The sequence below is a fragment of the Homo sapiens genome, chromosome 16 (genome assembly GCF_000001405.40).
Source record: "Homo sapiens chromosome 16, GRCh38.p14 Primary Assembly".
Taxonomy (NCBI): Eukaryota; Metazoa; Chordata; class Mammalia; order Primates; family Hominidae; genus Homo; species Homo sapiens.
Window position 1 is genome coordinate 28,972,405 of NC_000016.10, and position 25,742 is coordinate 28,998,146.

General features: G+C 54.5%; 2 protein-coding genes across 13 annotated transcripts, besides 10 other annotated features; both read left to right on the top strand.

Moving 5' to 3' along the window:
- Positions 2,111-2,230: an enhancer, noted in NCBI's record as "active region_10653". NCBI's record gives its function as "activates an Ori minimal core promoter by ATAC-STARR-seq in GM12878 lymphoblastoid cells {active_cell/tissue: GM12878}" and the evidence as "EXISTENCE:reporter gene assay evidence [ECO:0000049][PMID:35858748]".
- Positions 2,311-2,420: an enhancer, noted in NCBI's record as "active region_10654". NCBI's record gives its function as "activates an Ori minimal core promoter by ATAC-STARR-seq in GM12878 lymphoblastoid cells {active_cell/tissue: GM12878}" and the evidence as "EXISTENCE:reporter gene assay evidence [ECO:0000049][PMID:35858748]".
- On the top strand, positions 2,374-12,361 carry SPNS1 (SPNS lysolipid transporter 1, lysophospholipid). 9 transcript variants are annotated; one of them, XM_047434739.1, is made up of 13 exons: positions 2,374-2,459; positions 2,697-2,988; positions 3,088-3,153; positions 5,504-5,640; positions 6,751-6,902; positions 7,001-7,067; positions 9,066-9,211; positions 9,497-9,652; positions 9,952-10,141; positions 10,453-10,518; positions 10,788-10,886; positions 11,801-12,035; positions 12,205-12,361. In XM_047434739.1, exons 1-13 carry the CDS (start codon positions 2,376-2,378, stop codon positions 12,273-12,275), a joined length of 1,761 nt encoding a protein of 586 aa, XP_047290695.1. In that variant the 5' UTR covers positions 2,374-2,375; the 3' UTR covers positions 12,276-12,361. The 9 variants fall into 9 exon arrangements, with proteins under 9 accessions (XP_047290695.1, NP_001135922.1, NP_001135920.1 ...); NM_001142450.2 differs by lacking the exon at positions 12,205-12,361 and adding an exon at positions 11,382-11,553 and having other exon boundaries at positions 2,374-2,696; positions 2,784-2,988; positions 11,801-12,139; NM_001142448.2 differs by lacking the exon at positions 12,205-12,361 and adding an exon at positions 11,382-11,553 and having other exon boundaries at positions 11,801-12,139.
- Positions 2,519-2,688: an enhancer, noted in NCBI's record as "experimental_43305 CRE fragment used in MPRA reporter constructs". NCBI's record gives its function as "activates a minimal promoter by MPRAs in K562 erythroleukemia cells, with activity observed for both the introgressed and non-introgressed 16:28986329 or rs117119297 variant alleles {active_cell/tissue: K562}" and the evidence as "EXISTENCE:reporter gene assay evidence [ECO:0000049][PMID:34662402]".
- Positions 2,519-2,730: a biological region, named in NCBI's record as "ATAC-STARR-seq lymphoblastoid silent region 7321".
- Position 2,604: a transcriptional cis regulatory region, noted in NCBI's record as "Neanderthal adaptively introgressed variant 16:28986329 (GRCh37/hg19 assembly coordinates) or rs117119297 in the experimental_43305 CRE". NCBI's record gives its function as "modulates activity of the experimental_43305 enhancer by MPRAs in K562 erythroleukemia cells {active_cell/tissue: K562}" and the evidence as "EXISTENCE:reporter gene assay evidence [ECO:0000049][PMID:34662402]".
- Positions 2,641-2,730: a silencer, noted in NCBI's record as "silent region_7321". NCBI's record gives its function as "represses an Ori minimal core promoter by ATAC-STARR-seq in GM12878 lymphoblastoid cells {active_cell/tissue: GM12878}" and the evidence as "EXISTENCE:reporter gene assay evidence [ECO:0000049][PMID:35858748]".
- Positions 9,248-9,327: a silencer, noted in NCBI's record as "silent region_7322". NCBI's record gives its function as "represses an Ori minimal core promoter by ATAC-STARR-seq in GM12878 lymphoblastoid cells {active_cell/tissue: GM12878}" and the evidence as "EXISTENCE:reporter gene assay evidence [ECO:0000049][PMID:35858748]".
- On the top strand, positions 12,399-18,380 carry LAT (linker for activation of T cells). 4 transcript variants are annotated; one of them, NM_001014989.2, is made up of 13 exons: positions 12,399-12,523; positions 12,972-13,113; positions 13,309-13,336; positions 13,450-13,484; positions 13,731-13,812; positions 13,978-14,042; positions 14,136-14,165; positions 14,253-14,310; positions 14,395-14,489; positions 17,123-17,185; positions 17,370-17,435; positions 17,529-17,615; positions 17,785-18,380. In NM_001014989.2, exons 1-12 carry the CDS (start codon positions 12,458-12,460, stop codon positions 17,606-17,608), a joined length of 810 nt encoding a protein of 269 aa, NP_001014989.2. In that variant the 5' UTR covers positions 12,399-12,457; the 3' UTR covers positions 17,609-17,615; positions 17,785-18,380. The 4 variants fall into 4 exon arrangements, with proteins under 4 accessions (NP_001014989.2, NP_001014987.1, NP_001014988.1 ...); NM_001014987.2 differs by lacking the exon at positions 12,399-12,523 and having other exon boundaries at positions 12,648-13,113; NM_001014988.2 differs by lacking the exon at positions 12,399-12,523 and having other exon boundaries at positions 12,648-13,113; positions 13,981-14,042.
- Positions 12,409-12,688: a silencer, noted in NCBI's record as "silent region_7323". NCBI's record gives its function as "represses an Ori minimal core promoter by ATAC-STARR-seq in GM12878 lymphoblastoid cells {active_cell/tissue: GM12878}" and the evidence as "EXISTENCE:reporter gene assay evidence [ECO:0000049][PMID:35858748]".
- Positions 12,709-12,768: a silencer, noted in NCBI's record as "silent region_7324". NCBI's record gives its function as "represses an Ori minimal core promoter by ATAC-STARR-seq in GM12878 lymphoblastoid cells {active_cell/tissue: GM12878}" and the evidence as "EXISTENCE:reporter gene assay evidence [ECO:0000049][PMID:35858748]".
- Positions 21,691-21,891: a silencer, noted in NCBI's record as "peak2553 fragment used in MPRA reporter construct". NCBI's record gives its function as "represses an SCP1 promoter by STARR-seq MPRAs in K562 erythroleukemia cells {active_cell/tissue: K562}" and the evidence as "EXISTENCE:reporter gene assay evidence [ECO:0000049][PMID:32103011]".

The following is a 25,742-nucleotide window of genomic DNA, read 5'->3' on the forward strand; positions in this document are numbered from 1 at the left end:
GGGTTTTCACCATCTTGGCCAGGCTGGTCTTGAACTCCTGACCTTGTGATCCACCCGCCTCGCCCTCCCAAAGTGTTGGGATTACAGGCGTGAGCCACTGCGCCCGGCCTAGTAAACGTTATTGTTTCCTTAACCATAAACATGTCGAGTCTAGGAATGCCTTACTTTCTGTAATTCAGTCCAGCAAGTCCCAGCCTTATTTTCCTAACCGTCACTCAAGATGGAGTCACTCTGGTCCGAACGTCTCTGACAGTTCATTCCTTTTTCTTGTTAAGCTATTCCCGTTGTATGAATAGATTATGCCCCTGTTGATGGACATGTGGATTCTTTTCATTTTTGGGCTATTATGAATAATGCATTTATGAACATTCATATACAGGTTTTTGTTTGGACACGTTTTCATTTCTCATTGGTGGTTACCTAGGAGTGGAATTGCTGGGTCATATGGGAAGTGTATATTTAATTTTTATTTATTTAGTTTTTTTGTAGAGATGAGTCTTGCTTTGTTGCCCAGGCTGATCTTGAACTCCTGGGCTGAAGTGATCCTCCCACCTCAGCTTCCCAAAGGGCTAGGATTACAGGCATGAGCCACTGTGCCTGGCCAAAAACACAATTTTTAAAATGGACAAAAGAGCTGGGTGCAGTGGCTCACACCTGTAGTCCTAGCATTTTGGGAGGATGAGGTGGGAGGATTGCTTGAGTTCAGGAGTTCCAGACTAGCCTGGACAACATAGCGATAACTCATCTCTACAAATATAAAAATTAAAATGACACTGGGCATGGTGGCTCACCCCTGTAATCCCAGCACGGTGGGAGGCTGAGGCGGGCAGATCACTTGAGGTCAGGAGTTCAAGACCAGCCTGGCCAACCTGCTGAAAGCCCATCTCTACCAAAAATACAAAAAATTAGCCGGGTGTGGTGGCACGTGCCTGTTATCCCAGCTACTTGGGAGGCTGAGGCACAAGAATCGCTTGGACCCCGGAAGTGGAGGTTGCAGTGAGCCGAGATCCCGCCACTACACTCCAGCTCCAGCCTGGGTGACAGAGCAAGCGTCTGTCTCCAAAAAAAGAAAGAAAGAAAAAAAAAAAGAGTTCTTTACATGGATACAAGTCCTTTGGCAGATAGATGCTTTGTAAATATTTTCATTCAACCTGTGGCTTGCCTTTTCACTTCAGAGGTGCAATTTACAATGCGTATCACTCTCTAGATAAGCTCCACGAGGGAAGGGAGTAAGTCTGCCTTTCCCTGAAACCTGGTAAAATGCCAGGCACATACATGTTCAATAATATCTTGTTGAGGGAATTAAATGCCTGCAACCTGAAGTTCCTGTCCGCCAGGGGAAACCAAGCTTAAGGTTCTGAAACACGAGGCACCTAATATGGGGGGGGGGGGGGGGTTAAAGCCAATTATGGGTATTCGGACTCGAAATAGTTTCTAACAAGGCGTTTTGGGGTTGGGGGATGCTCTCCCCACGAGATTCCAGGATTTCAGTAGAGGGCCTTTAAGGGCTGGTTGAAAGATGGGTCTTGAAGCTGTATTTGCACAGAACTATACTAATTTTACTTAGAGTGCTTTATTAGATGTAGCTTGGAGATTATAGGGTGCCACTAAAGAACCACTCCCAAGTTATCCCTTTGACCCTAGTCCTGCAGCTGGGAGTCTCCTTAGGCTAGGAGCTCCTGCCTGCCCTACAAAAGCCCACCGGAGGGCGCAAGGGCTCCAATCCCGATTGGAGTGAGGAAAAATATGCTCCAGGAGCGGCGGGTGGAGACGCTTCCTTTAATAGGTATTTAAGTGTCCACGGTGAAGGCTCAGGAGTTTACAAGGCTAGCAGGGTTGGGGAATCTCAACAAAGGGCGGGGCGTTGCTCAAGCTCCATCCGTCCGTCCGTCCATCCCTCCGTCCCTCCAATCCTCCATCCATCGCGCTGCTCAAGCTCCATCCATCCATTTATCCATCCATCCATCCATCCTTTATTGAGAGTAAAAAGCCGCCAACCAGACCCTGGGAGGAAGACAGGATGGTTCCCGAGAACTAGGGCTGCTCCTTGGCTTTTAGAGGTATCTACTACTTCCAAAACCTTTTGAGACCCCATTATCCCGTTTGATGAAGATGGAGTCTGCCACGTGGGGGTTCCAGATAAGACAGCTGAGATTCGGAAGGGCAGGCGACTCCACCTAGTCACGGGGACGCTCTTTTTGACGCTCCAGGGACCGCAGGGTCTGGGAAAGTTCCTGGTTACTCCGGCGACCGGCCGGCCGTCACATGACATGTGAGCCCGGGCGGAACGCCCAAGAGGCTTCCGTAGTCGGGTGGCAGGTCACGTGTCGAAGGCTTGCCCGCGGGGACCCCTTCCACCCTGGCTCCCGCGTCACATGACCGGCTTTAAGCAACATGGCGGCTGCCGTGGTGCAGCGCCCGGGCTGAGCGACAGCAAGTGCAGCGGGCTCCTACCCCGGGTGAGGGGTGGCCTCCGCGTGGGATCGTGCCCTCTTCAGCCCGCTCCTGTCCCCGACATCACGTGTATTCCGCACGTCCCCTCCGCGCTGTGTGTCTACTGAGACGGGGAGGCGTGACAGGGCCCGGGTCCCTTCTCAGTGGTGCTCTGTGCTTCAGGGCAAGCTCCCCGTCTCCGGGCGCACTTCCCTCGCCTGTGTTCGGTCCATCCTCCTTTCTCCAGCCTCCTCCCCTCGCAGGTGGGATCGTCGGTGGGACCGGAGCGCGGGCGGGCGCGGCCCCCCGGGACCATGGCCGGGTCCGACACCGCGCCCTTCCTCAGCCAGGCGGATGACCCGGACGACGGGCCAGTGCCTGGCACCCCGGGGTTGCCAGGGTCCACGGGGAACCCGAAGTCCGAGGAGCCCGAGGTCCCGGACCAGGAGGGGCTGCAGCGCATCACCGGCCTGTCTCCCGGCCGTTCGGCTCTCATAGTGGCGGTGCTGTGCTACATCAATCTCCTGAACTACATGGACCGCTTCACCGTGGCTGGTAGGGACTCACTTCTGGGAGGAAGATAGTCTAGGAGAGGGGAGCCAGGGTCCCGAGGGTGGCGCTGCTTTGCCGGACCATCCTGAATTTTCTCCTCAGGCGTCCTTCCCGACATCGAGCAGTTCTTCAACATCGGGGACAGTAGCTCTGGGCTCATCCAGACCGGTGAGTGGGGACCACTCCTGGTCACACAGCCGCTCCTCCTTCTGTTCTGTCTCAAGTGGGGCCACGCGCTGGCCTGTCTAGGGGCTCATTAATGGAGGTTTTGTGGCCAGTTAGGGGAGGTGATGGCCCTGATGTTGCTCGGGGGTCAGCGGGACACCACATTTAAAGAGGGAGTCAGTTTAGTATAACTAAGTATAACTTCACCCAGGTGAAGACAGACCTGGGTTTAAATCTCAGCTCTTCCACTTATTGTGTGATGGTAGGCAAGGCACTCAACCTCTCTAAGCCTCATTTTCCTTGTCTATAAGATGGAACAAGTAATAACACGAATCATCTCTTAGGACTGATGTGAAGATTAACTAAAAGATTGTCTGTGAAGGGCCTAGTGCAGTGTTTGGCACATGGTAGACACCCAGTAAATAATGGCAGGAGGGTTGGGTGTGGTGACTCACGCCTGTAGTCCCAGCACTTTGGGAGGCCAAGATGAGTGGATCACTTGAAGTTAGGAGTTCAAGACCAGCCTGGTCAACATGACGAAACCCCATCTGTACTAAAAATACAAAAATTAGCCAGGCATGGTAGCGAGCGCCTGTAATCCCAGGTACTTGGGAGGCTGAGGCATGAGAGTTACTTGAACCCGGGAGGCAGAGGTTGCAGTGAGCCGAGATCGCACCACTGCACTCCAGCCTGGGTGACAGAGCGAGACTCCATCTCATAAATAAATAAATAAGTAAAGGCAGGAGAGGGTGTCTGGAATGGGGAGAGGTGTGTTTTACTTGTTCACAACTTTGGGACTTGTGGGAGAGGCAAAGCTAGAGCCAAGCCCTTTTTCTTCCTTCCATCCTTCATTCATTTCTCAACCATTTCTGAGTACTCATTGTGTGCCAGGCCTGGAGGAAGTGATGATTACACCTGTAGGACTTTGCGAAGAACTTTTATGCCCCTTGTCTTCTAATCCTTCTATCAGTCAAAAATAGGTGTTACTGTTCCTATTTTATAGAGGAAGTAGGTAGTGATATCTACAGCTTATAAAGAAACTGAGGCTTGGAGAAGAGTTAAGACTTGCCCAGGGTCACACCACCAGTTGGAGGCGGAACAGGAATTTGAAACCAGGTCTTGCAGTGTTCTTTTCTCTACTCCAGGCCAATGAGGAACTGGAGGTATTTGAGGTGAAGTCTGGAGCAATGAGAATGGGATCATAGGGCAAGGTCTTCAAACCTCTGAAGAGTTGTTGAGTTAGAGCAGCAGCTCTTTCTAGGCAGCCGGATTTATTCACTCTCTTCACATGCTTATTGAGCACCTGTTTTGCACTAGGCTGTGTGTTAAGTAAGTGAAAGAAACACAGTCATGGCCAATACAGGCAAGGACCTTGCCTTGGGAGCTGATAGTACGCTATGCATGAGGCAGCAACAGCCAGTAAAACGCTAAACTAAAGTGGGACAGTTTTCCCATAGGGATAAGTGTTATGTAACAGAAAACAGTCCAGGCGCTGTGGCTCACACCTGTAATCCCAGCACTTTGGGAGGCCGAGGCGGGTGGATCACGAGATCAGGAGATTGAGACCATCCTGGCTAACATGGTGAAACCCCATCTCTACTAAAAATACAAAAATTAGCTGGGCGTGGTGGCACGCCCCTGTAGTCCCAGCTGCTTGGGAGGCTGAGGCAGAATTGCTTGAACCTGGGAGGCGGAGGTTGCAGTGAGCTGAGATCGCGCCACAGCACTCCAACCTGACAACAGAGCGAGACTTCGTTTAAAAAAAAAAAAAAAAAAAAAGAGAAAAAAGTAAATGTGAGAGTCAGGTACTGGATGTGTGCTCACCTGGGCAGCATGCTTCACCCTTGGCCCTGGGCAAGTATCTGAGCTGGAACCTGAAGGAACTATGCTCTGTGAAGTTTCAGGGGGAGAGGAGAGAATGTCCTTGATAGAGGAGGCAGTAGGTGCCTAAACCCCTAGTGGTATTGGCCTTGACAATTGGGCCATTGGGATGCAGACAGAGGAAGGGAAAAAGGCTGGCCATGAGTGTGGAGAGGTAGGCAGGGCCTAGATTGGACAGGGGCATTGTGAGCCATGGTATGCATGGAGTTTGGAGCTTGTTTTGGCTAGGTGGAAGGAATTGACAAGTAGTGGGACCATCCATTATACAATGGGAAATCTGGAAAGGTGTTCAAGATGGAGCTGGACCATCCGCCTGACAGGAAGCTCTGATGGGCTTCAGGCTGGGATGTGGGGGTGTTGTGAATTCTGTAAGGAGAAGGCAGGCATCTCCTGTGCTTTAGTGGTTCCAGCTGGGGTGGGAGTGGGAGGTAGGGGTACCTGGGCTGAGCTGTGACTCTCTGCTTCCCCCTAGTGTTCATCTCCAGTTACATGGTGTTGGCACCTGTGTTTGGCTACCTGGGTGACAGGTACAATCGGAAGTATCTCATGTGCGGGGGCATTGCCTTCTGGTCCCTGGTGACACTGGGGTCATCCTTCATCCCCGGAGAGGTGAGGCCCCAAGCTGGCTCCTGTTTCTGCCCACACCCCCTCCCTGTCAGTCTCTGCTGCTGCTCCTTGGAGCTATGGCAGACTGGGCCTCAGGGACTCCTGCAGTTTCCCTGGTCCATGCCATTTTATACCCCTCCTTGCCTGAGTTAACCTGCCCCACCCCATCCTCCCCTTTTCTTCCAGAGCATTCTCTGTCCATTATCCCCTCTTCCCCTGACCACTGACTCCTTCTACTCCATACCTAAACACTCCAAACCCTACCTGGCCTGCCCTCTCTCCCTCCTCTCATTCCTGATCAGACTTCCTGAAGGGCCCCTAGAGCGTGGTGCCAGTGTGGGTAAAAGAGCAGCCGGGGAGATGCCATCACTCTGCCTGCACTTCCTCACGCCTGCTCACCCCTCGAGCGCTGCCACTGACTTCTGCTCCCACCACTCCACGGACCCTGCTCTTGCCAAAGTTAACAGTGGCCTCCTAGTTGCTAAACACAGCTCCAACTTCCTGGTCCTGTTCATGCTAGGAGCCTCTGGCACTGTTGACCCACTCTTCCTTCCTGAAACTCTCTCCTACCTTTGCGATGCCACACTCTTCTGGCTTTCCTCCTGCCTCCCTGGCTGTTGCTTCTTTGTTCCTTTGAAGCCTCCTCTGTCTGTTCTCACTCCACCCCAGAACTCTGTCCTCAGCCCCAGGACCTACGTACTTTCCTTGGGTGACTGTACCCGTCCTTAGCTTCAGGTGCCTTTGGTAGACACATAAACTCCCATCTAAGGTCACTTATTCATTAAAAAAAAAAAATTAAAAAACTTTCCCCTACCAGGCAAGCAGGGGTTGTCTTATTTAGACCTTTTATTGTCTAGTCCTTGCAATAGCTCTGTGAAAAGTTGTTGTTATCCTCCTTTTGCAGATGAGGAAACTGAGGCTCAGAGAGGTTAAGTTATTTTCCCCAAATCGCAGCTAGTAAGTGGTGGAGCCAGGATGCAAGCTCAGGTCTGTGTGATTCTAAAACCCAGGCATCTCCCGCCATCCCTGCTGCCTCTTGGGAGCGGGCTGGTGAGGTAGCCCGGAGGCTGGTTGCAGGCTGGGGTGCCACCTCTCCCCGGTCTCTCTCCCCAGCATTTCTGGCTGCTCCTCCTGACCCGGGGCCTGGTGGGGGTCGGGGAGGCCAGTTATTCCACCATCGCGCCCACTCTCATTGCCGACCTCTTTGTGGCCGACCAGCGGAGCCGGATGCTCAGCATCTTCTACTTTGCCATTCCGGTGGGCAGGTGAGTGGGCCTGGGGCCTGGGGGAAGGCAGAAGGGCCTGGTGTGGGGGACTGGACTGACTGGCTGTCCCCCCTTTTTCCCCTCTCTCCCTCCCACAGTGGTCTGGGCTACATTGCAGGCTCCAAAGTGAAGGATATGGCTGGAGACTGGCACTGGGCTCTGAGGGTGAGTCTGGTCTTGGCCTGGGGGTAGGTCAGCGACGTTCTCACTGATCCCTGTTTCCTACCTTTGGACCCCTTCCCACCGCCCATTTTTCTTTTAAGAGACAGGGTCTTGTTGTGTCACCCAGGCTGCAGTGCAGTGGTGCAGTCATAGCTCACTGTAGCCTGGAACGCCTGAGCTCAAGTGATCCTCCCACCTCAGCCTCCCAAGTAGCTGGGACTATAGGTGCCCGCCACCATGCCTGGCTAATTAAAAAAACTTTTTCTTTTTGTAGGCTGGGTGTGGTGGCTAACACCTGTATCCCAGCATTTTGGGAGGCTGAGGCAGGTGGATCACTTGAGGTCAGGAATTCAAGACCAGCCTGGCCAACATGGTGAAACCCTGTCTCTACTAAAAATACAAAAATTAGCTGGGCGTGGTGGTGCATGCCTGTAATCCCAGCTACTCGGGGGGCTGAGGTAGGAGAATCACTTGAACCCAGGAGGCGGAGGTTGCAGCAAGCTGAGATTGTGCCACTGCACTCTAGCCTGGGCGACAGTGCGAGACTCCTTCTCAAAAAAAAAAAAAAAAAATTTTGCCAGGCATGATGGCTCACGCCTATAATCCCAGCACTTTGGGAGGCTGAGGTGGGCGGATCACCTGAGGTCAGGAGTTCTAGGCCAGCTTGACCAACATGGTGAAACCCTGTCTCTACTAAAAATACATAATTAGCCAGGCATGGTGACGCATGCCTGTAATCTCAGCTACTCGGGAGGCTGAGGCAGGAGAATCGCTTGAACCCGGGAGGCAGAGGTTGCAGTGAGCAGAGATCGTGCCATTGCACACACAAAATTTTTTTTTTTTGTAGAGATGGGGTCTTTGTATGTTGCCCAGGTTGGTTTTGAACTCCTGGCCTCAAGCAATCCTCTTGCCTTGGCCTCCTAAAGTGCTGGGCTTACGGGTGTGAGCCATGCGCCTGGCTCCAAATACCCCTTTTTTGGGGCAGCTCTCATTCTGCTGAGCCTGCAGGAGACTGGCTGCCCTCACCTGGAAGCCATGTGCTAGACAGAATTCTTGCGTGCAGGTGACAGAAGCCCATTGTAAAACTGTAAGCCCCCTAGAGGCCGGGTGCGGTGGCTCACACCTGTAATTCCAGCACTTTGGGAGGCCAAGGTGGGTGGATCACAAGGTCAGGAGATTGAGACCACCCTGGCTAACACAGTGAAATCCCGTCTCTACTAAAAATACAAAAAAAAATTAGCTGGGCGTGGTGGCAGGTGCCTGTAGTCCCAGCTACTCAGGAGGCCGAGGCAGGAGAATGGCGTGAACCCAGTAGGCGGAGGTTGCAGTGAGCCGAGATCGCACCACTGCACTCCAGCCTGGGTGACAGAGTGAGACTCTGTCTCGAAAACAAACAAACAAACAAACAAACAAACCGTAAGCCCCCTAAAGGGGCTGTCTTGGCTTTCTTCCTGAAAGTCCCAGGTGAGCTTCAGTCAGGTAAAGCTGGATCCAGGGCTCCCACACTGCCCTTCTCTTCTGAGCTTTACTTTCCTTTGTGTTAACATCATTCTTAAGGACGTGAGAACTCCAGATGATTACCTTTCCATTTAGCAACATTGGCACCTTGGACCCTGGGGCCGTGTTTCCAGGATAGCGTCTGACTAGATGAACATGCATCACGTGCCCTCTGCGGAATCCGTCACCGAGGCTGGGGTGGTTAACAGTCCTCTTGTTGGCCAAGCCTGGGATCCTATTTAAACCAAGTGGATTGAGAGAAGTAGGGGTACTGGTTTCCCAAAAGAAAATTACCAAAGAGGAGACAAAGCTAGGCTTGCAAAAATAGGGTGGCCCCTAGTGGCAGCCCCCTTCCCCCAGATTGCAGGTTCGGCTTCTTGGAGCAGGCACTTAACTGGGTATTTTAGGTCTCAGGCTGGAGTTATCTGTACCCCACACTCTCCTCCAGCCCAGGGCTTGAGTGTGTCTCTCCCTGTGCCTATCCTGAAGCCCTCTGTCTCCCAGGTGACACCGGGTCTAGGAGTGGTGGCCGTTCTGCTGCTGTTCCTGGTAGTGCGGGAGCCGCCAAGGGGAGCCGTGGAGCGCCACTCAGATTTGCCACCCCTGAACCCCACCTCGTGGTGGGCAGATCTGAGGGCTCTGGCAAGAAAGTGAGTTTATTCCCACCCTAGACCACCATCTGAGGCCCCCTGGCGTCTGGTTTGAGGTTTAAGTGGGGATGTTCCTGTTCCTGGCCACACCCCAAGGCCAGTAATTCGGTCGATACTGTCCCCTTGTGGCAGCTGCTTGAATTACAGGCCCAGATCCTGGGAGCCAGAACCACCTCTGCACGGTGTTGTGACCTTACTAAAATAAGCCAGGAAGGGAGAAGAGAGGTCCCCTCCTGCCTCGACACCTCCGTGGGGTCTTACTCTCTCCCTCCCAACTATCTGCAGTCCTAGTTTCGTCCTGTCTTCCCTGGGCTTCACTGCTGTGGCCTTTGTCACGGGCTCCCTGGCTCTGTGGGCTCCGGCATTCCTGCTGCGTTCCCGCGTGGTCCTTGGGGAGACCCCACCCTGCCTTCCCGGAGACTCCTGCTCTTCCTCTGACAGGTGCCCAGATGGGGCTATGCTGGGGGGCCTGCGGGTGGCAGGGCTGGAGTGAAGAGCATCTGTGGCTCAGACCCAGGCAGGGAGTTTGACTCCTGACTTCACAAGCTGCCTGCTCTCCTGGAATCTCCGTTTCCTGGTCTGGGAAATAAGTGATGGGATGATGTCTGCCACTCAGGGCTGTGCCAACCATGGGGTGCTGTGTCTGTAGGGACCTTGGTTGTGAGGGTGGCTAGGATGGACAGCGTAGGGGCCTTGGCAGGCACAGGGACAAACCCCCCATTCCCTTCCCTCACCCCTAGTCTCATCTTTGGACTCATCACCTGCCTGACCGGAGTCCTGGGTGTGGGCCTGGGTGTGGAGATCAGCCGCCGGCTCCGCCACTCCAACCCCCGGGCTGATCCCCTGGTCTGTGCCACTGGCCTCCTGGGCTCTGCACCCTTCCTCTTCCTGTCCCTTGCCTGCGCCCGTGGTAGCATCGTGGCCACTTATGTGAGTAGCCAGCAGGTGTCAAGGGGGATGGCGTGGGTCCAGGGTGGAGGAGCAGTCAGCGTAATGGCCACTCGAGGTGGAATGCCTGGTTTTGAATCACAGCTCTGGCTCTTCCCAGCTGTGTGACATTGGACAAGTGACTTAACCTCTCTGTGCTCAGTTTCATCATGTGTAAAATGGGGATATTAGTAGCACCTGTCTCACTGGGGTGTGATGAGGATTAAATTAGTTAATAGATGAGCTGGGAACATGGTCAACTTTCCATGTGTTAGCCCTTACTGTCATGAACCCCCGACCCTCTCTTCCCCCAGATTTTCATCTTCATTGGAGAGACCCTCCTGTCCATGAACTGGGCCATCGTGGCCGACATTCTGCTGGTGAGTTGCTGGGCAGCTCCAGGGTCAGCGCAGAGGCTGATGAGAGCAGAGTTGGGGTCAGGAGTGTTGCCTCTACCCCTCAAAGCCCAGCCTCAACCTACCTTCTGCAATAAATAACATCTGTAGCAGACCCCCGGCCTGCCCTGCGACCTCAACCCCAGGCACACCTCTGACCCCGGCCTAGGCGGATCCTTGGTGGTCTCCTGGCCCCCTGCCTCCTGCCCCCTGGAGCCCAGAGCATCCACTGAGCTCCACCAACTCCTCCACAGTACGTGGTGATCCCTACCCGACGCTCCACCGCCGAGGCCTTCCAGATCGTGCTGTCCCACCTGCTGGGTGATGCTGGGAGCCCCTACCTCATTGGCCTGGTGAGCATTATTTCTTGGCTGGCATGGGGTGGCTGGTGTCCTGAGCCTGGGCTGGATCAGAAGGCCTGGCCCTAGTGAAGTGTCTGTGTCCTGCGTGCTGGGCACTTCTCACCTTCCATTGTCAACTGGAGGAGAAAGATTTTGTCTTTGAATATTTCTACCAGTAAGGCCAGGGACCTCACCCTGGTGGTCCAAACTCCTCCTTTCTTTTCTCTTTTCTTTTCTTCCTGAGACAAGACCTCACTCTGTTGCCCAGGCTGCAGTGTAGTGGCACGATCATGGCTCACTGCAGCCTCGACCTCCTGGGCTCAAGCGATCCTCCCACCTCAGCCTCCTGAGTAGCTGGGATGATAGGCATGAGCCACTGCATCTAGCTCAAACCTCCTTCCCTTTCCTGGGCTCCACTTGTCTTTCTCCCTGGAGCTCAGGGGCGTGCCCTCCCTGGTTCATCCATGAGGCTGACTCCCCTGGCTTTCCTGTCTCCTCTCCCTGCAGATCTCTGACCGCCTGCGCCGGAACTGGCCCCCCTCCTTCTTGTCCGAGTTCCGGGCTCTGCAGTTCTCGCTCATGCTCTGCGCGTTTGTTGGGGCACTGGGCGGCGCAGCCTTCCTGGGCACCGCCATCTTCATTGAGGCCGACCGCCGGCGGGCACAGCTGCACGTGCAGGGTCAGTTAGGAGCTGTGCCCGGCCCAGCTTCTTGATCTGCCTGTCTGTCTGTCCATCTGTCTGCCCACTCCTGTGCACCTGGCAGCTCAGTCCACAGCCCTCCCCTTGTTTGGCCTCCAGTCTGTCTGCATCCACCCCTGGGGTGGCTCTGTGGCTGCCCCATCCATTTCCCGCTGCCTGTTTGCCCTTCTCTGGCTTTGTCTGTCTGTCCATCCAGCTCACCCTGGCTCTGACCCTCCCCCCTCAGGCCTGCTGCACGAAGCAGGGTCCACAGACGACCGGATTGTGGTGCCCCAGCGGGGCCGCTCCACCCGCGTGCCCGTGGCCAGTGTGCTCATCTGAGAGGCTGCCGCTCACCTACCTGCACATCTGCCACAGCTGGCCCTGGGCCCACCCCACGAAGGGCCTGGGCCTAACCCCTTGGCCTGGCCCAGCTTCCAGAGGGACCCTGGGCCGTGTGCCAGCTCCCAGACACTACCTGGGTAGCTCAGGGGAGGAGGTGGGGGTCCAGGAGGGGGATCCCTCTCCACAGGGGCAGCCCCAAGGGCTCGGTGCTATTTGTAACGGAATAAAATTTGTAGCCAGACCCCAGGTGCCTGCTCTCGTCTTTCTCTGGGTGGCCTCTGATCTTGCACCCCGTCTTCACCCCAGGGCTCCTGAAGACTGTGGGTCATTCCTCAGGGCTCTGGGTGAGTCTCTGCCCTTCTGGGCTGGGCGACTGAGATGGGGGACTGCTCTTCTCCGAGTGAGCTGGCTGAGTGTGACCGTGAGTCACGCCCCTGCTTCCCTGGAGCCTGTCCCTTGCCTCACAGGCCTGGCTGAGGTGGGGGTGGGCACTGCCCTTTGTACCCCAGAATTCCCACTGTCAGGGCCTCCCTGCTCGCTGCCTCCCCGGGTCCTGGATATGGAGGCCACGGCTGCCAGCTGGCAGGTGGCTGTCCCCGTCTTGGGGGGGGCCAGCAGACCCTTGGTGAGTGCCTGGGGTGGCTCCCGGGCCTCCTCCTGCCCCCTCCCCACTGGCGGGTGGGGTGGGAAGGGGGCGGGTGCAGCCGGCTGAGAGCTTGATGATTTCCTGCCCTCGCCCGGCGCTCACCACAGCTTCCTGCCGCAGGCGGGCGGGAGGGCGGGCACGGAGAGGCGGGCGCCGAGGAGGGGCAGGTAGGGCTGGGACGCAGGGGTAACTGGATCCCCCGACTTCAGCCCAGGCCCTGGTCTGACCACCCTGGGAGCAGGGACTTTCCACAGTCAGCTGGACGCACACTCAGCCCAGTAAAAGAGGGGACCCATCCCGGGAGCCCCGGGGAGGGCACAGCTGCCTCCTCCCGGGCTCCCCTGCCACCTGGTGCCTACCTGCCCCCTGCTCCCTGCCGGGTCCGGTCCTCACCCCATCTTCATCTGGCCTTGACTCTGCCCTTGAGGGGCCTAGGGGTGCAGCCAGCCTGCTCCGAGCTCCCCTGCAGATGGAGGAGGCCATCCTGGTCCCCTGCGTGCTGGGGCTCCTGCTGCTGCCCATCCTGGCCATGTTGATGGCACTGTGTGTGCACTGCCACAGACTGCCAGGTGAGTGGGAAACTGGTGGGGGTACCCAGGGCCCAGGGACACCGACGGGATCCTCATCCACTCCCAGCCCCTGTGTCTGTCCTGGCTCTGTCCCTGCCTCCGTCCTGATCCCAGCGCCTCTGAGAGTCCCTGGATCCCAGCACCTTCTGCCCTAAGCACCCCCTGTTCCTGCCTCACCAGCCCTCTCTTTCCCAGGCTCCTACGACAGCACATCCTCAGATAGGTGAGTCCGCCCCAGCCGCCCTGGGTCTCCCTCCACACCCCATGGCGGGGCAGGGCTGGGGCTTCCATCCTCCATCTTCCAGCCCCATCCCCAAGCTGTGTCTCCTTTACCAGTTTGTATCCAAGGGGCATCCAGTTCAAACGGCCTCGTGAGTACAAGGAGGGTCCCCTACCTTGGGTGCCAGGGAGAGGGTCCCCTGGTGTGGGAGTGAGCGTGAACCTTCAGACTTCCCCTGCCACCTTGGGGCTGCCCACATGGCCTTGACCTGAGCTGGGAGAGGGGAGATGGCTCCCCCAGGCCTGTCCAGGGTGTGGGGCTTTCAGGGGCTTAGTCTGTTCTTTGAGGCCTTGACGATGTCCGGAGTCCTTCTTTCAACTTGGTTCTGTGTCCTCAGACACGGTTGCCCCCTGGCCACCTGCCTACCCACCTGTCACCTCCTACCCACCCCTGAGCCAGCCAGACCTGCTCCCCATCCCGTGAGTAGCTGCTCAGCCCCTGCCCCTCCAAAGCTCAGCCCCTCCCCCTCCAAACTCCACTCTCTACCCCTTCACTTTTTTGGATTGGGGGCCCCTTTCCCTTTTGCAACTGCTGTTGCCCCCTGAGCCCCACCTCAGGCATGACCCCTGACCTTTGACTCCCAGAAGATCCCCGCAGCCCCTTGGGGGCTCCCACCGGACGCCATCTTCCCGGCGGGATTCTGATGGTGGTAAGTGTGGGGAAGGGTTCAGGCGGCGGGGGCTGGGAAGAAGATAGGCCTGGCCTGAGCTGACTTAGTCTCCCTCTCACCCTCTCTTTGAAGCCAACAGTGTGGCGAGCTACGAGAACGAGGGTGCGTCTGGGATCCGAGGTGCCCAGGCTGGGTGGGGAGTCTGGGGTCCGTCCTGGACTAGGCTGACCCCTGTGTCGTTACCCCCAGAACCAGCCTGTGAGGATGCGGATGAGGATGAGGACGACTATCACAACCCAGGCTACCTGTGAGTGGCCAGGTGGGAGGTGGGAGGTGAGGGCTGAGGCTGTGCGTCCCCCCTTGCTCACCGGCCCTTTTCACTTCCTTTCAGGGTGGTGCTTCCTGACAGCACCCCGGCCACTAGCACTGCTGCCCCATCAGCTCCTGCACTCAGCACCCCTGGCATCCGAGACAGTGCCTTCTCCAGTGAGTCAGGCATTTGTTTTTATTTTTAAATTTTTTTAGGGATAGGCTGGAGTGCAGTGGTGCCATTGTAGCTCGCTGCAGCCTTGAACTCCTGGGCTCCAGTGATCCTCCCAAGTAGGCTACTCGGCCTCAGCCTCCCAAGTAGCTGAGACCACAGGCGCATGCCACCACACCTAGCTTATTTAAAAAATTTTTTTTGTAGAGATGGTCTCACTATGTTGCCCAGGCTGGCCTTAAACTCCTGGGCTCAAGTGATCCTCCCACCTCGGGCTCCCAAAGTGCTTGGGATTATAGGCGTGAGCCACCATGCCCGGCCCTGTTCTTCTGATTTTCTCAGCTTTCTCTCTCTTCTTTCCTATCTCTGTGTCCTTTCCTTTATCATCTGGGAGATTTCCTTGTCTGTATTCTTCAACCCTTCCACTGCAATTTTATTTCTCCTATCCAGAAGCTCTTTCTCGTTCTCTGGCTGTTCTTTTTTTATAGCCTCCTGTTCTTGTTTCATGGATGAAACATCTCTAAGGATGTTAATTAGAGGCTGTCTTGTGTGTCTGTGTGTGTCAGTTTTCTTCTGCTTCCTGCACTGCCCTGTTTCCTTTGAGCTGGTTTTCTCCCTTCCTCATGGTCTCATCCTGCCTGGTCACATCCTCTGGGCTTTCCTCAATGTCCGGGATTCTTTAGTTTTCTGTTGCTTTGCTCTCTCTGTATATACTTGTCCTGGGCTATCACTTCTATACCCTGGCTTTGTTTGCCATCCAGATTCCCAGTTTGCTCTCTCCTGAGCTCCAGACTGTATCCAAGTACTTCTTTTCTTTCATTCATTCATTCATTCATTCATTCAGCATTTACTATGTGCCTCTGCTGGGCTAATGCTGTGGATATAACAGTTAAGGAGGCAGACTGTCCTGATAAAATAGCTGGCTGGGCATGGTGGCTCACTCCTGTAATCCTAGCACTTTGGGAGGCCGAGGCGGGAGGATTGCTTGAGCCCAGGAGTTCAAGACCAGCCTGAGCAACATGGCGAAACCTCATCTTTAAAAAAAAAAAAAAAATTAGCCAAGCGTGGTGGCACATGCCTGTAGTCCCAGCTGCTCAGGAGGCTGAAATGGGCGGATCATCTGAACCCCGCAGGCGGAAGTTGCAGTGAGACGAGATCATGCCACTGCACTCCAGCCTGGGTGACAGAGTGAGACCTTGTGTTAAAAAAAAAAAAAAAAGATAAAATAGCTAAGATTCACCGAGGGCCTCCTGCATGCCTTGCTAAGAGTCTGACATGTGTTCACTCACTAATCTGACTGCCCTGGGGCTCCCGGGCCTGCCCGCGCCCTCCTGTGCTCCAGTTGTCCCTTTTGTGGGATACAGGGTTTATCTGTTTAACAGCACTGCTGTGTGACAGGCCCTATTTTACAGAGGAGAAAACTGAGGCACAGAGAGGTAAGGTCCCTTGGCTGAGGTTATGTGGTTGGTTAGTGCTGGAGCTGGGATTGAACCGGGGCGGTCTTCAAAAACAAACAAGAAACACATAAAAGAACCAAATAGGCCGGGCACGGTGGCTCACACCTGTAATCCCAGCACTTTGGGAGGCCAAGGTGGGGGGATCACCTGAGGTCAGGAGTTCGAGACTGACCTGGCCAACATGGCGAAACCCAGTCTCTACTAAAAATACCAAAATTAGCAGGGCGTGGTGGCGGGCACCTGTAATCCCAGCTACTCAGGAGGCTGAGGCAGGAGAATTGCTAGAACCGGGAGGCAGAGGTTGCAGTGGGCCAAGATCACCCCACTGCCCTCCAGCCCTCTAGGTGACAGAGGGAGACTCCATCTCAAAAATAAATAAATAAACAAAATAAAAGAACCAAATAACCAGGCGTGGTAGCTGATGCCTGTGATCCCAGCACTTTGGGAGGCTGAGGCAGGTGGGTCACTTGAACCCAGGAGTTCAAGACCAGCCTGGGCAGCATAGGGAGACCCTATCTCTACAAAAATTCCAAAATTTAGCCTGGCCTGGTAGGAGCTGAGGTGGGAAGATCATCTGAGCCCAGGAGGTCAAGGTTGCGGTGAGCCGAGATTGCACCACTGCACTCCAGCCTGGGTAACAGAGCGAGACCCTGTCTCAAGAAAAACAAAAACAAACAAAAAGCTCCCAAATAACATGGATGGTGACAGGCGCCATGAAGGGCTGACATGGGAGTGAGACATAGGCAGTGGCTGGCAGGGGGCAGGTGGGGATGGGGGTCGGGGGGAGGAGGTGCCTGCTGGGCCTAGTGTGTCATGTCCCCTCCACACACGCCACCAAACTCCCACTGCTCCGAGCCGCACTACATCCCTGCTCCCCAGCCTAGGGGCTGTGCTGGGGCCTGACCCTTTGTGAGCTCTCCTCAGTCCCAGTCAAGTGGACCTCCTCCCTCCCTCTCCACAGCCCTTGCCCTTGTCCAGGCCACCATCACCATCACCAACACCATCCTTGCCAGCCTGGAGTCCCCTCTCTTCATTCTGTGGGGCTAATGGGGGTGGCTGTGTGGGAAGCCTCTGGGGTCTACCGTTGGGGAGCTCTGCATGGCTGAGGTTGGGGGTTCTCTGGGAACCTGTGGCCAAGGGTCTCTGGTCACAGTGCCGAGGTGGGCCTGGCTTTTCCACAGTGGAGTCCATTGATGATTACGTGAACGTTCCGGAGAGCGGGGAGAGCGCAGAAGCGTCTCTGGGTGAGTGACCGGTGCTTGTCGGTGCCTGCCCCTGCACCCCGCTGCCCCACCATGCTCTCAGTGTGACCAGATCCCACCCTGGGGCTACCCACACCCTCTGCCCCCTCTGTCTGGGCGTCCCCTTGCTCTCTCGCCCTCCTGACCCCTTTGCGTGGCTGCCCCTCCTTCTGATCTGTCCCCACAGATGGCAGCCGGGAGTATGTGAATGTGTCCCAGGAACTGCATCCTGGAGCGGCTAAGACTGAGCCTGGTGTGTTCTGCGGGAGGGGCAGGAGCTGGGGTAGCTGCTTTGGGCTTGGGGGGATAGCTTGCAAGCTGGAGACCAACCTCCCCTCCCTTACAGCCGCCCTGAGTTCCCAGGAGGCAGAGGAAGTGGAGGAAGAGGGGGCTCCAGATTACGAGAATCTGCAGGAGCTGAACTGAGGGCCTGGTGAGAGGCCTGCCCTGTCCCCACCCTGCCCTGGGCCCACAGGCTCTACTCCTTCCCTCCAGGACCCCCTTGCCCAACCCTACCTCTGGCTTGTCCCTCTGTCTCTGGGTACCTGCTGAACCCCGTCAGCCTCCTGATCCGTATCCCTCCCTGCCCTGGTGTGTTTCAGTGGAGGCCGAGTCTGTCCTGGAACCAGGCTTGCCTGGGACGGCTGAGCTGGGCAGCTGGAAGTGGCTCTGGGGTCCTCACATGGCGTCCTGCCCTTGCTCCAGCCTGACAACAGCCTGAGAAATCCCCCCGTAACTTATTATCACTTTGGGGTTCGGCCTGTGTCCCCCGAACGCTCTGCACCTTCTGACGCAGCCTGAGAATGACCTGCCCTGGCCCCAGCCCTACTCTGTGTAATAGAATAAAGGCCTGCGTGTGTCTGTGTTGAGCGTGCGTCTGTGTGTGCCTGTGTGCGAGTCTGAGTCAGAGATTTGGAGATGTCTCTGTGTGTTTGTGTGTATCTGTGGGTCTCCATCCTCCATGGGGGCTCAGCCAGGTGCTGTGACACCCCCCTTCTGAATGAAGCCTTCTGACCTGGGCTGGCACTGCTGGGGGTGAGGACACATTGCCCCATGAGACAGTCCCAGAACACGGCAGCTGCTGGCTGTGACAATGGTTTCACCATCCTTAGACCAAGGGATGGGACCTGATGACCTGGGAGGACTCTCTTAGTTCTTACCTTTTGTGGTTCTCAATAAAACAGAACTTAAAAAATTGTCTAAGTAACTGAAAAAGTTAATATGCAGCACAGCACTTTTGAGACTTTGATGGGTAGGTGACTCACCGGCAGACTTTGCTGTGGGGTGGGTTCTGACTCAGTTCGCCTAGGACGTGGCCTGAGACTTTGCATTTCTGAGCCTCTCCTGTGTGATTCTGATGCTGCTGTTCTGTGAACCTCATCCTGAGGAGCAAGGGCGTGGTGAGCATCTATTGCCTTTACTTGTCCGGGATCCATTTCCCCTTATTTTGGGAATTTCACCTTGGCTTTCCTCTGCAATTCACTCCTTTCCCAATCTCATTCCATGTAGTTTTAGAGATTGTGTGTTTGTTTTTTCTTTTTCCTTTTTTTTTTTTTTCTTTTTTTGAGATGGGGTCTCCCTCTGTCGCCAGGCTGGAGTGCAGTGGCGTGATCTTGGCTCACTGCAACCTCCGCCTCCTGGGTTCAAACAATTCTCCTGCCTCAGCCTCCTGAGTAGCTGGGATTACAGGCCCCCACTACCACACCTGGCTAATTTTTGTATTTTTAGTAGAGATGGGTTTCACCATGTTGGCCGGGCTGGTCTCACACTCCTGACCTCAGGTGATCCCACCCTCCTCGGCCTCCCAAAGCGCTGGGATTACAGGTGTGAGCCACTGCGCCCAGCCTGTTTTTTCTTTTTTGGAAATGAGGTCTCACTCTGTCGCCCGGGCTGGAATGTGGTAGTGCAATCATGCCTCAGTGCAGCCTTGAACTCCTGGGGTCAAGTGATCCTCCCAGCTCAGCTTCCTGAGTAGCTGAGACTACAGACGCATGCCACCATGCCCGGCTAATGTTTTATTTTTTGTAGAGATGGAGGTCTCACTGCGTTGCCCAGGCTGGTCTTGAACTCCTGAGTTCAAGTGATCCTCCTGCCTTGGCCTCCCAAAGTGCTGGGATCACAAGCATGAGCCACTGTGCTCAGTGTCTCCCTGGGATTTAAGGTGAATGATCGCATCTGGCCTGGAGATTGTTGAACACGTGACCCAGACCTGGGCCAAGGTCACCATCCTTTCCCTGCCCATCACGATTGGCTCAGGTATGGGCATGTCACCCGGCCTGGGCCAGTGAGGAGCAGCCCTGGGATCCAGGTGGGAAGTGCTGGGCAGGAGAAGCTCCATCTGTTCGGGGCAGTGATTAAGCTGGACAGATGCAGGCCTGGAGCCACCACTTGGAGAGCCTGCCTAGGAATGAAGCCAACGTGGAGGAGAGAGTGGCCCAGAGAGGGACAGAGCCAGCTTCCTAACGGTGTCATTAGAATTCCTGGAACTGGGCCGGGTGTGGTGGCTTCCGCCTGTAATCTCAGCATTTGGGAGGCAGAGGCGGGTGGATCACCTGAGGTCAGGAGATCAAGACCAGCCTGGACAACATGGCGAACCTTGTCTTTACTAAAAATACAAAAATTAGCCAGGCGTGGTGGCACGCGCCTGTAATCCCAGCTACTCAGGAGGCTGAGGAAGGAGAATCGCTTGAACCTGGGAGATGGAGGTTGCAGTGAGCCGAGATCACGCCTCTGCATTCCAGCCTGAGCAACAGAGCAAGACTCTGTCTCAAAAAAAAAGACTCCTGGATCTGGACATACCTGAAGCGTTGCGTGGGCCAATAAATGGCAGTTTTTCTTCAACCAGCTTTACTTGGGGTATCTGTCACTACAGCCAAAGTTGTTTTGCGATGAAAAGTTGGTGGTGGTTCTCTGTGGACTCCAAAAGTAATAACAGTGGCTCTGTTCAAGGTCAGCCAGGTGCAGTGGTGCATGCGTGTGATAGCGACTCCTCAGGGAGCGCCCATTGCATTGCCATGCTCATTACATGCAGTCATCATGACCCCTCTATTGTCAGTTACAGTTTAGTGTCCCCATTATGCAGGAGAGGAAACACAGGCTCAGAGAGGTGAAGTGACTTGCCCAAGGGCACACAGCTGAAGAGGTACACCTGGGATTAGATCTGTGGCTGTCGGTCCCATCGGGTCACTGCTGCTCTGACTGGCAGCCTCCTCATTCTGATGATGATGATGATGATTTTCTTGAGACGGAGTTTTGCTCTTGTCGCCCAGGCTGGAGTGCAGTGACGCGATCTCGGCTCACTGCAACCTCCGTCTCCTGGGTTCAGATGATTCTCCTGCCTCAGTCTCCCAAGTAGCTGAAATTATTATTATTATTATTTTGAGACAGAGTCTCATTCTGTGGCCCAGGCTGAAATGCAGTGGCACAATCTCGGCTCACAGCAACTTCTGCCTCTCAGGCTCAAGCGATCCTTCTACCTCAGCCCAAGCAGCGGGGACTACAGGCACGCACCACCATGCCCACCTAATTGTATTTTCTGTAGAGGCGGAGTCTCACCGTGTTGCCCAGGCTGGTCTCGAACTCCTGAGCTCAAGCAATCTGCTTGTCTTGGCCTCCAAAAGTGCTCGATTCCATGTGTGAGCCGCTGTCCCCGGCCAGAAACAATCTTCTTTTTTTTTGAGATGGAGTCTTGCTTTGTCGCCCAGGCTGGAGTGCAGTGGCACGATCTCGGCTCACTGCAACCTCCGTCTCCTGGGTTCAAGTGATTCTCTTGCCTCAGCCTCCCAAGTAGCTGGGATTATAGGCGCCCGCCACCACGCCCGGCTAATCTTTGTATTTTTAGTAGAGACAGGGCTTCACCATGTTGGCCAGGCTGGTCACCCACCTCGACCTCTCAAAGTGTTGGGATTGCAGGCGTAAGCCACCATGCCCGTCCTCATTCTGATTATTGTATAAAGTGCTGACTGCCCTGAATGGGGAAGCTCAGAAGAGGCCCAGGTGGAGAAGATGGTGGGAGGGTCTGGGAAGGGGATTGGACAGTCGGGCCATCAACACGTGGAGTTAAATCCTTTTCTTTGGAAGAAATAGACATGAGCAGAGGCACCTTTGTGCCTGGGCTGATAGATGAAGAACAGTTGACCAACAAGGGCTATTAGTGTAACCAATCTAGCAACATCTGGTGAAGCTGAAGCCATGTGTCTCCCTTTACCTAACAAATTCCTGGGTATAAACCTTCACCAACTCCAGGCCAGGCTCAGTGGTTCACACCTGTAATCCCAGCACTTTGGGAGGCCGAGGTGGGCAAATCGCCTGAGGTCAGGAGTTTGGCCAACATGGTGAAACCCTGACTCTACTAAAAATACAAAAATTAGCTGGGCTTGGTGGCGGGTGCCTGTAATCCTGGCTACTCGGGAGGCTGAGGCAGGAGAATTGCTTGAACCCAGGAGGCGGAGGTTGCAGTGAGCCAAGATTGCACCACTGCACTCCAGCCTGGGTGACAGGGTGAGACTCTGTCTCAAAAAAAATTCCTGGTTATAAACCTTTGTTAACTCTAGCACATGAGTCAAAGTGGCAGGTACAAGCAGACTTCCGTCAGGGCAGCATTGTAATGACTGTAGCTGGAGACAGCTTAGACACCCACCGCTTAAGAGCAGACAGAGAAGTCCCAGTGTGGCCAGGCACGGTGGCTCACGCCTGTAATCCCAGCCCTTTGGGAGGCCGAGGTGGGTGGATCACCTGAGGTCAGGAGTTCAAGACCAGCCTGGCCAACATAGTGAAACCCAGTATCTACTAAAAATACAAAAATTAGCTGGGCATGGTGGCGAGAGCCTGTAGTCCCAGCTACTCAGAAGGCTGAGGCAGGAGAATTGCTTGAACCTGGGAGGCAGAGGTTGTAGTGAGCCAAGACTGTGCCTTTGCACTCCAGCCTGGGCGACAAGAGGGAAACTCCATCTCAAAAAAAAAAAAAAAAGAAAGAAAGAAATCGCAGTGCAGTCAGATGACAGCTGCTCAGCAGCCGATAAAATGAAGGAACTGCGGGCCAGGCACAGTGGCTCACGCCTGTAATCCCAGCACTTTGGGAGGCCGAGGAGGGCAGATCACCTGAGGTCAGGAGTTCGAGACCAGCCTGACTAACATGGCAAAACCCCGTCTCTACTAAAATTACAAAAATTAGCTGGACGTGATGGTGCACGCCTGTAATCCTAGCTACTTGGGTGACTGAGGCAGAAGAATCGCTTAAACCTGGGAGGCGAAGGTTGCAGTGAGCTGAGATTGTGCCACTGCACTCCAGCCTGGGTGATAGAGACTCTGTCTCAAAAAAAAAAAAAAAAAAGAAAAAAAAAATGAAGGAACTGCAGCCGGGCTCATCACCACTGATGGATAGCACCAACAGATTGTGGTGATGTCACACACAGCAAACAAAACACGCAAAGCAAGTCATGCATGTAAAGTTAAAAACATGTACATGAGGCAGGGCGTGGTGGCTCACGCCTGTAATCCCAGCATTTTGAGAGGCCAAGGTGAGAGGATCATTTGAGTCCAGAAGTTCAAGACCAGTCTGGGCAACATAGTGAAGCCCTATATATATATATATAGGGTTGAACCCAGGAGGCGGAGGTTGCAGTAAGCCAAGATTGTACCACTGCACTCCAGCCTGGGCAACAGGGTGAGACTCCATCTCAAAAAAAAAAAAAAAAAATTCCTGGTTATAAACCTTTACCAACTCCAGCACATGGGCCAAAGTGGCAGGTACAAGCAGACTCCGGCAGGGCAGCATTGTAATGACTGCAGCTGGAGACAGCTTAGACACCCACCACTTAAGAGCAGACAGAGAAGTTGCAGTGTGGCCGGGCACGGTGGCTCACGCCTGTAATCCCAGCACTTTGGGAGGCCGAGGCGGGTTGTATATATATGTGTGTGTGTGTATATATGTATACACACACACACACAACCATGTACATGATTACGCCACTGCAGTGCAGCCTGGGCAACAGAGACCTGTCTCAAAACAAAACAAAACAAAAAAACCAAACCTATGTACAAATGCTGTATATTGTTCAGGGATGTGCATCGATGTAAAAGTATCAAGACAGCGCCAGGCGCCGTGGCTCACGCCTGTAATCCTAGCACTTCGGGAGGCTGAGGTAGGTGGATCACTTAGGGTCGGGAGTTCGAGACCAGCCTGACCAACATGGAGAAACCCCGTCTGTACTAAAAATACAAAATTAGCCAGGCGTGGTGGTGCATGCCTGTAATCCCAGCTACTCAGGAGGCCGAGGCAGGAGAATTGCTTGAACCCGGGAGGCGGAGGTTGCAGTGAGCTGAGATGGCGCCATTGCACTCCAGCCTGGGCAACAAGAGCAAAACTCTGTCTCAAAAAAAGAAAAAAGTATCAAGACAGGCGTAGGAGTGAGGAATTCCAAATTCAGGACAGTGGTCACCCTGGGTGGAGGCGGAGGCAGGAGACTGGGGAGGAGTTCGAAGAAGGCTTCAGTGAGATGTGCAATGTCCTATTCTTTTTTTTTTTTTTTTGAGACAGAGTCTCACTCTGTCGTCCAGGCTGGAGTGCAGTGGTGCGATCTCGGCTCACTGCAACCTCTGCCTCCTGGGTTCAAACGATTCTCATGCCTCAGCCTCCTGAGTAGCTGGGATCACAGGTGTGCACCACCATGCCAGGTTAATTTTTGCATTTTTAGTAGAGATGAGGTTTTGCCATGTTGGCCATGCTGGTCTCGAACTCCTGGCCTCCAGTGATCCGCCGGCTTCAGCCTTCCAAAATGCTGGGATTACAGGCATAAACCACTGTGCCCAGTAGCATTATTATTATTATTATTTTGAGACAGGGTCTCATTCTGTGGCCCAGGCTGGAGTGCAGTGGCACAATCTTGGCTCACTGCAACCTCCACCTCTCAGGCTCAAGCGATCCTTCCACCTTGGCCCAAGTAGCGGGGACTACAGGCATGCACCACCATGCCCACTTAATTGTTTGTATTTTCTGTAGAAGCGGGGTCTCACCATATTGCCCAGACTGGTCTTGAACTCCTGAGCTCAAGCAATCCACCTGCCTTGGCCTCCAAAATTGCCAGGATTCCAGGCGTGAGCCACTGTGCCTGGCCAGACACAGTCTTCTCTCTCTCTTTTTTTTTTTTTTTGAAATGGAGTCTCGCTCTGTCGCGCAGGCTGGAGTGCAGTAGCGTGGTCTCGGCTCACTGCACCCTCTGCTTCCCGAGTTCAAGCGATTCTCCTGCCTCAGCCTCCCGAGTAGCTGGGATTACAGGTGCCCGCCACCACACCCGGCTCATTTTTGTATTTGTAGTAGAGACGGGGTTTCACCATGTTGGCCAGGCTGGTCTCAAACTCCTGACCTCGTGATTCGCCCACCTTGGCCTCCCAAAGTGCTGGGATTACAGGCGTGAGCCACCGAGCCTGGCCAAGACACAGTTTTCTTTACTGGTTTGCAGATCTGAATGATTTCATAATAACCAAGTGAGATCAAGGCCCAAGGAGGGAATGAATTGGGGTGGAAGGGTGGGGCATAAACAGCTTTAGGAAACAGTGAACAGTACGCCAGGCCTCACTAGCTGGTTTGTGCCAAGTGGATACGTCGCATATGGCATTCCAGGCCTTAGGAAGTACATACGCAAAGGCCCTGTAGTATGTTTGAGGAATTGAGAGAAGTTCCCATGTTATGGGGTTCGAGAAAGCATGGAGAGGTGAGTGTGGATGAATACGGGACTGAGCAGGCCTAAAAACTTTATCCTGTGGCCAGGTGTGGAGGACAAGGTGGGAGGATGGCTTGAGGCTACAAGTTCCAGACCAGCCTGGGCAACATAGCAAGACCCTGTCTCTTTAAAAAATAAATTAAAAAATTAGGCCAGGCACAGTGACTCACACCTGTAATCTCAGCACTTTGGGAGGCTGAGGCAGGGGGATCACCAGAGGTCAGGAGTTCAAGACCAGCCTGGCCTGTTGGCCGTCTGAAGCCACCGTGCCCAGTCACATTATTATTATTATTATTATTATTGTTATTATTTTGGGACAGGGTCTCATTCTGTGCCCCAGGCTGGAGTGCAGTGGCACAATCTCGGCTCAGTGCAACCTCCACCTCTCAGGCTCAAGCAATCCTTCCACCTCGGCCGGGCGCGGTGGCTCACGCCTGTAATCCCAGCACTTTGGGAGGCCGAGGCGGGCGGATCACGAGGTCAGGAGATCGAGACCATCCCGGCTAAAACGGTGAAACCCCGTCTCTACTAAAAATACAAAAAATTAGCCGGGCGTAGTGGCGGGCGCCTGTAGTCCCAGCTACTTGGGAGGCTGAGGCAGGAGAATGGCGTGAACCCGGGAGGCGGAGCTTGCAGTGAGCCGAGATCCCGCCACTGCACTCCAGCCTGGGCGACAGAGCGAGACTCCGTCTCAAAAAAAAAAAAAAAAAAAAAAAATCCTTCCACCTCAGCCCAAGTAGCAGGGACTACAGGCGTGCAACATCATGCCCACTTAATTGTTTGTATTTTCTGTACAAACAGTTTTCTGTGACACCCCGTCTCTACTAAAAATACAAAAA

Bases quoted from the DNA above. Each gene is read 5' to 3' on its own strand.
- SPNS1 (XM_047434739.1), top strand. From the start codon at position 2,376: ATGACCGGCTTTAAGCAACATGGCGGCTGCCGTGGTGCAGCGCCCGGG. The intron at 2,989-3,087 runs GTAGGGACTCAC...TTTTCTCCTCAG, and splicing joins GGACCGCTTCACCGTGGCTG to GCGTCCTTCCCGACATCGAG. The intron at 3,154-5,503 runs GTGAGTGGGGAC...GCTTCCCCCTAG, and splicing joins CTCTGGGCTCATCCAGACCG to TGTTCATCTCCAGTTACATG.
- LAT (NM_001014989.2), top strand. From the start codon at position 12,458: ATGGAGGCCACGGCTGCCAGCTGGCAGGTGGCTGTCCCCGTCTTGGGG. The intron at 13,485-13,730 runs GTGAGTACAAGG...CTGTGTCCTCAG, and splicing joins CATCCAGTTCAAACGGCCTC to ACACGGTTGCCCCCTGGCCA. The intron at 17,436-17,528 runs GTGTGTTCTGCG...CCTCCCTTACAG, and splicing joins AGCGGCTAAGACTGAGCCTG to CCGCCCTGAGTTCCCAGGAG.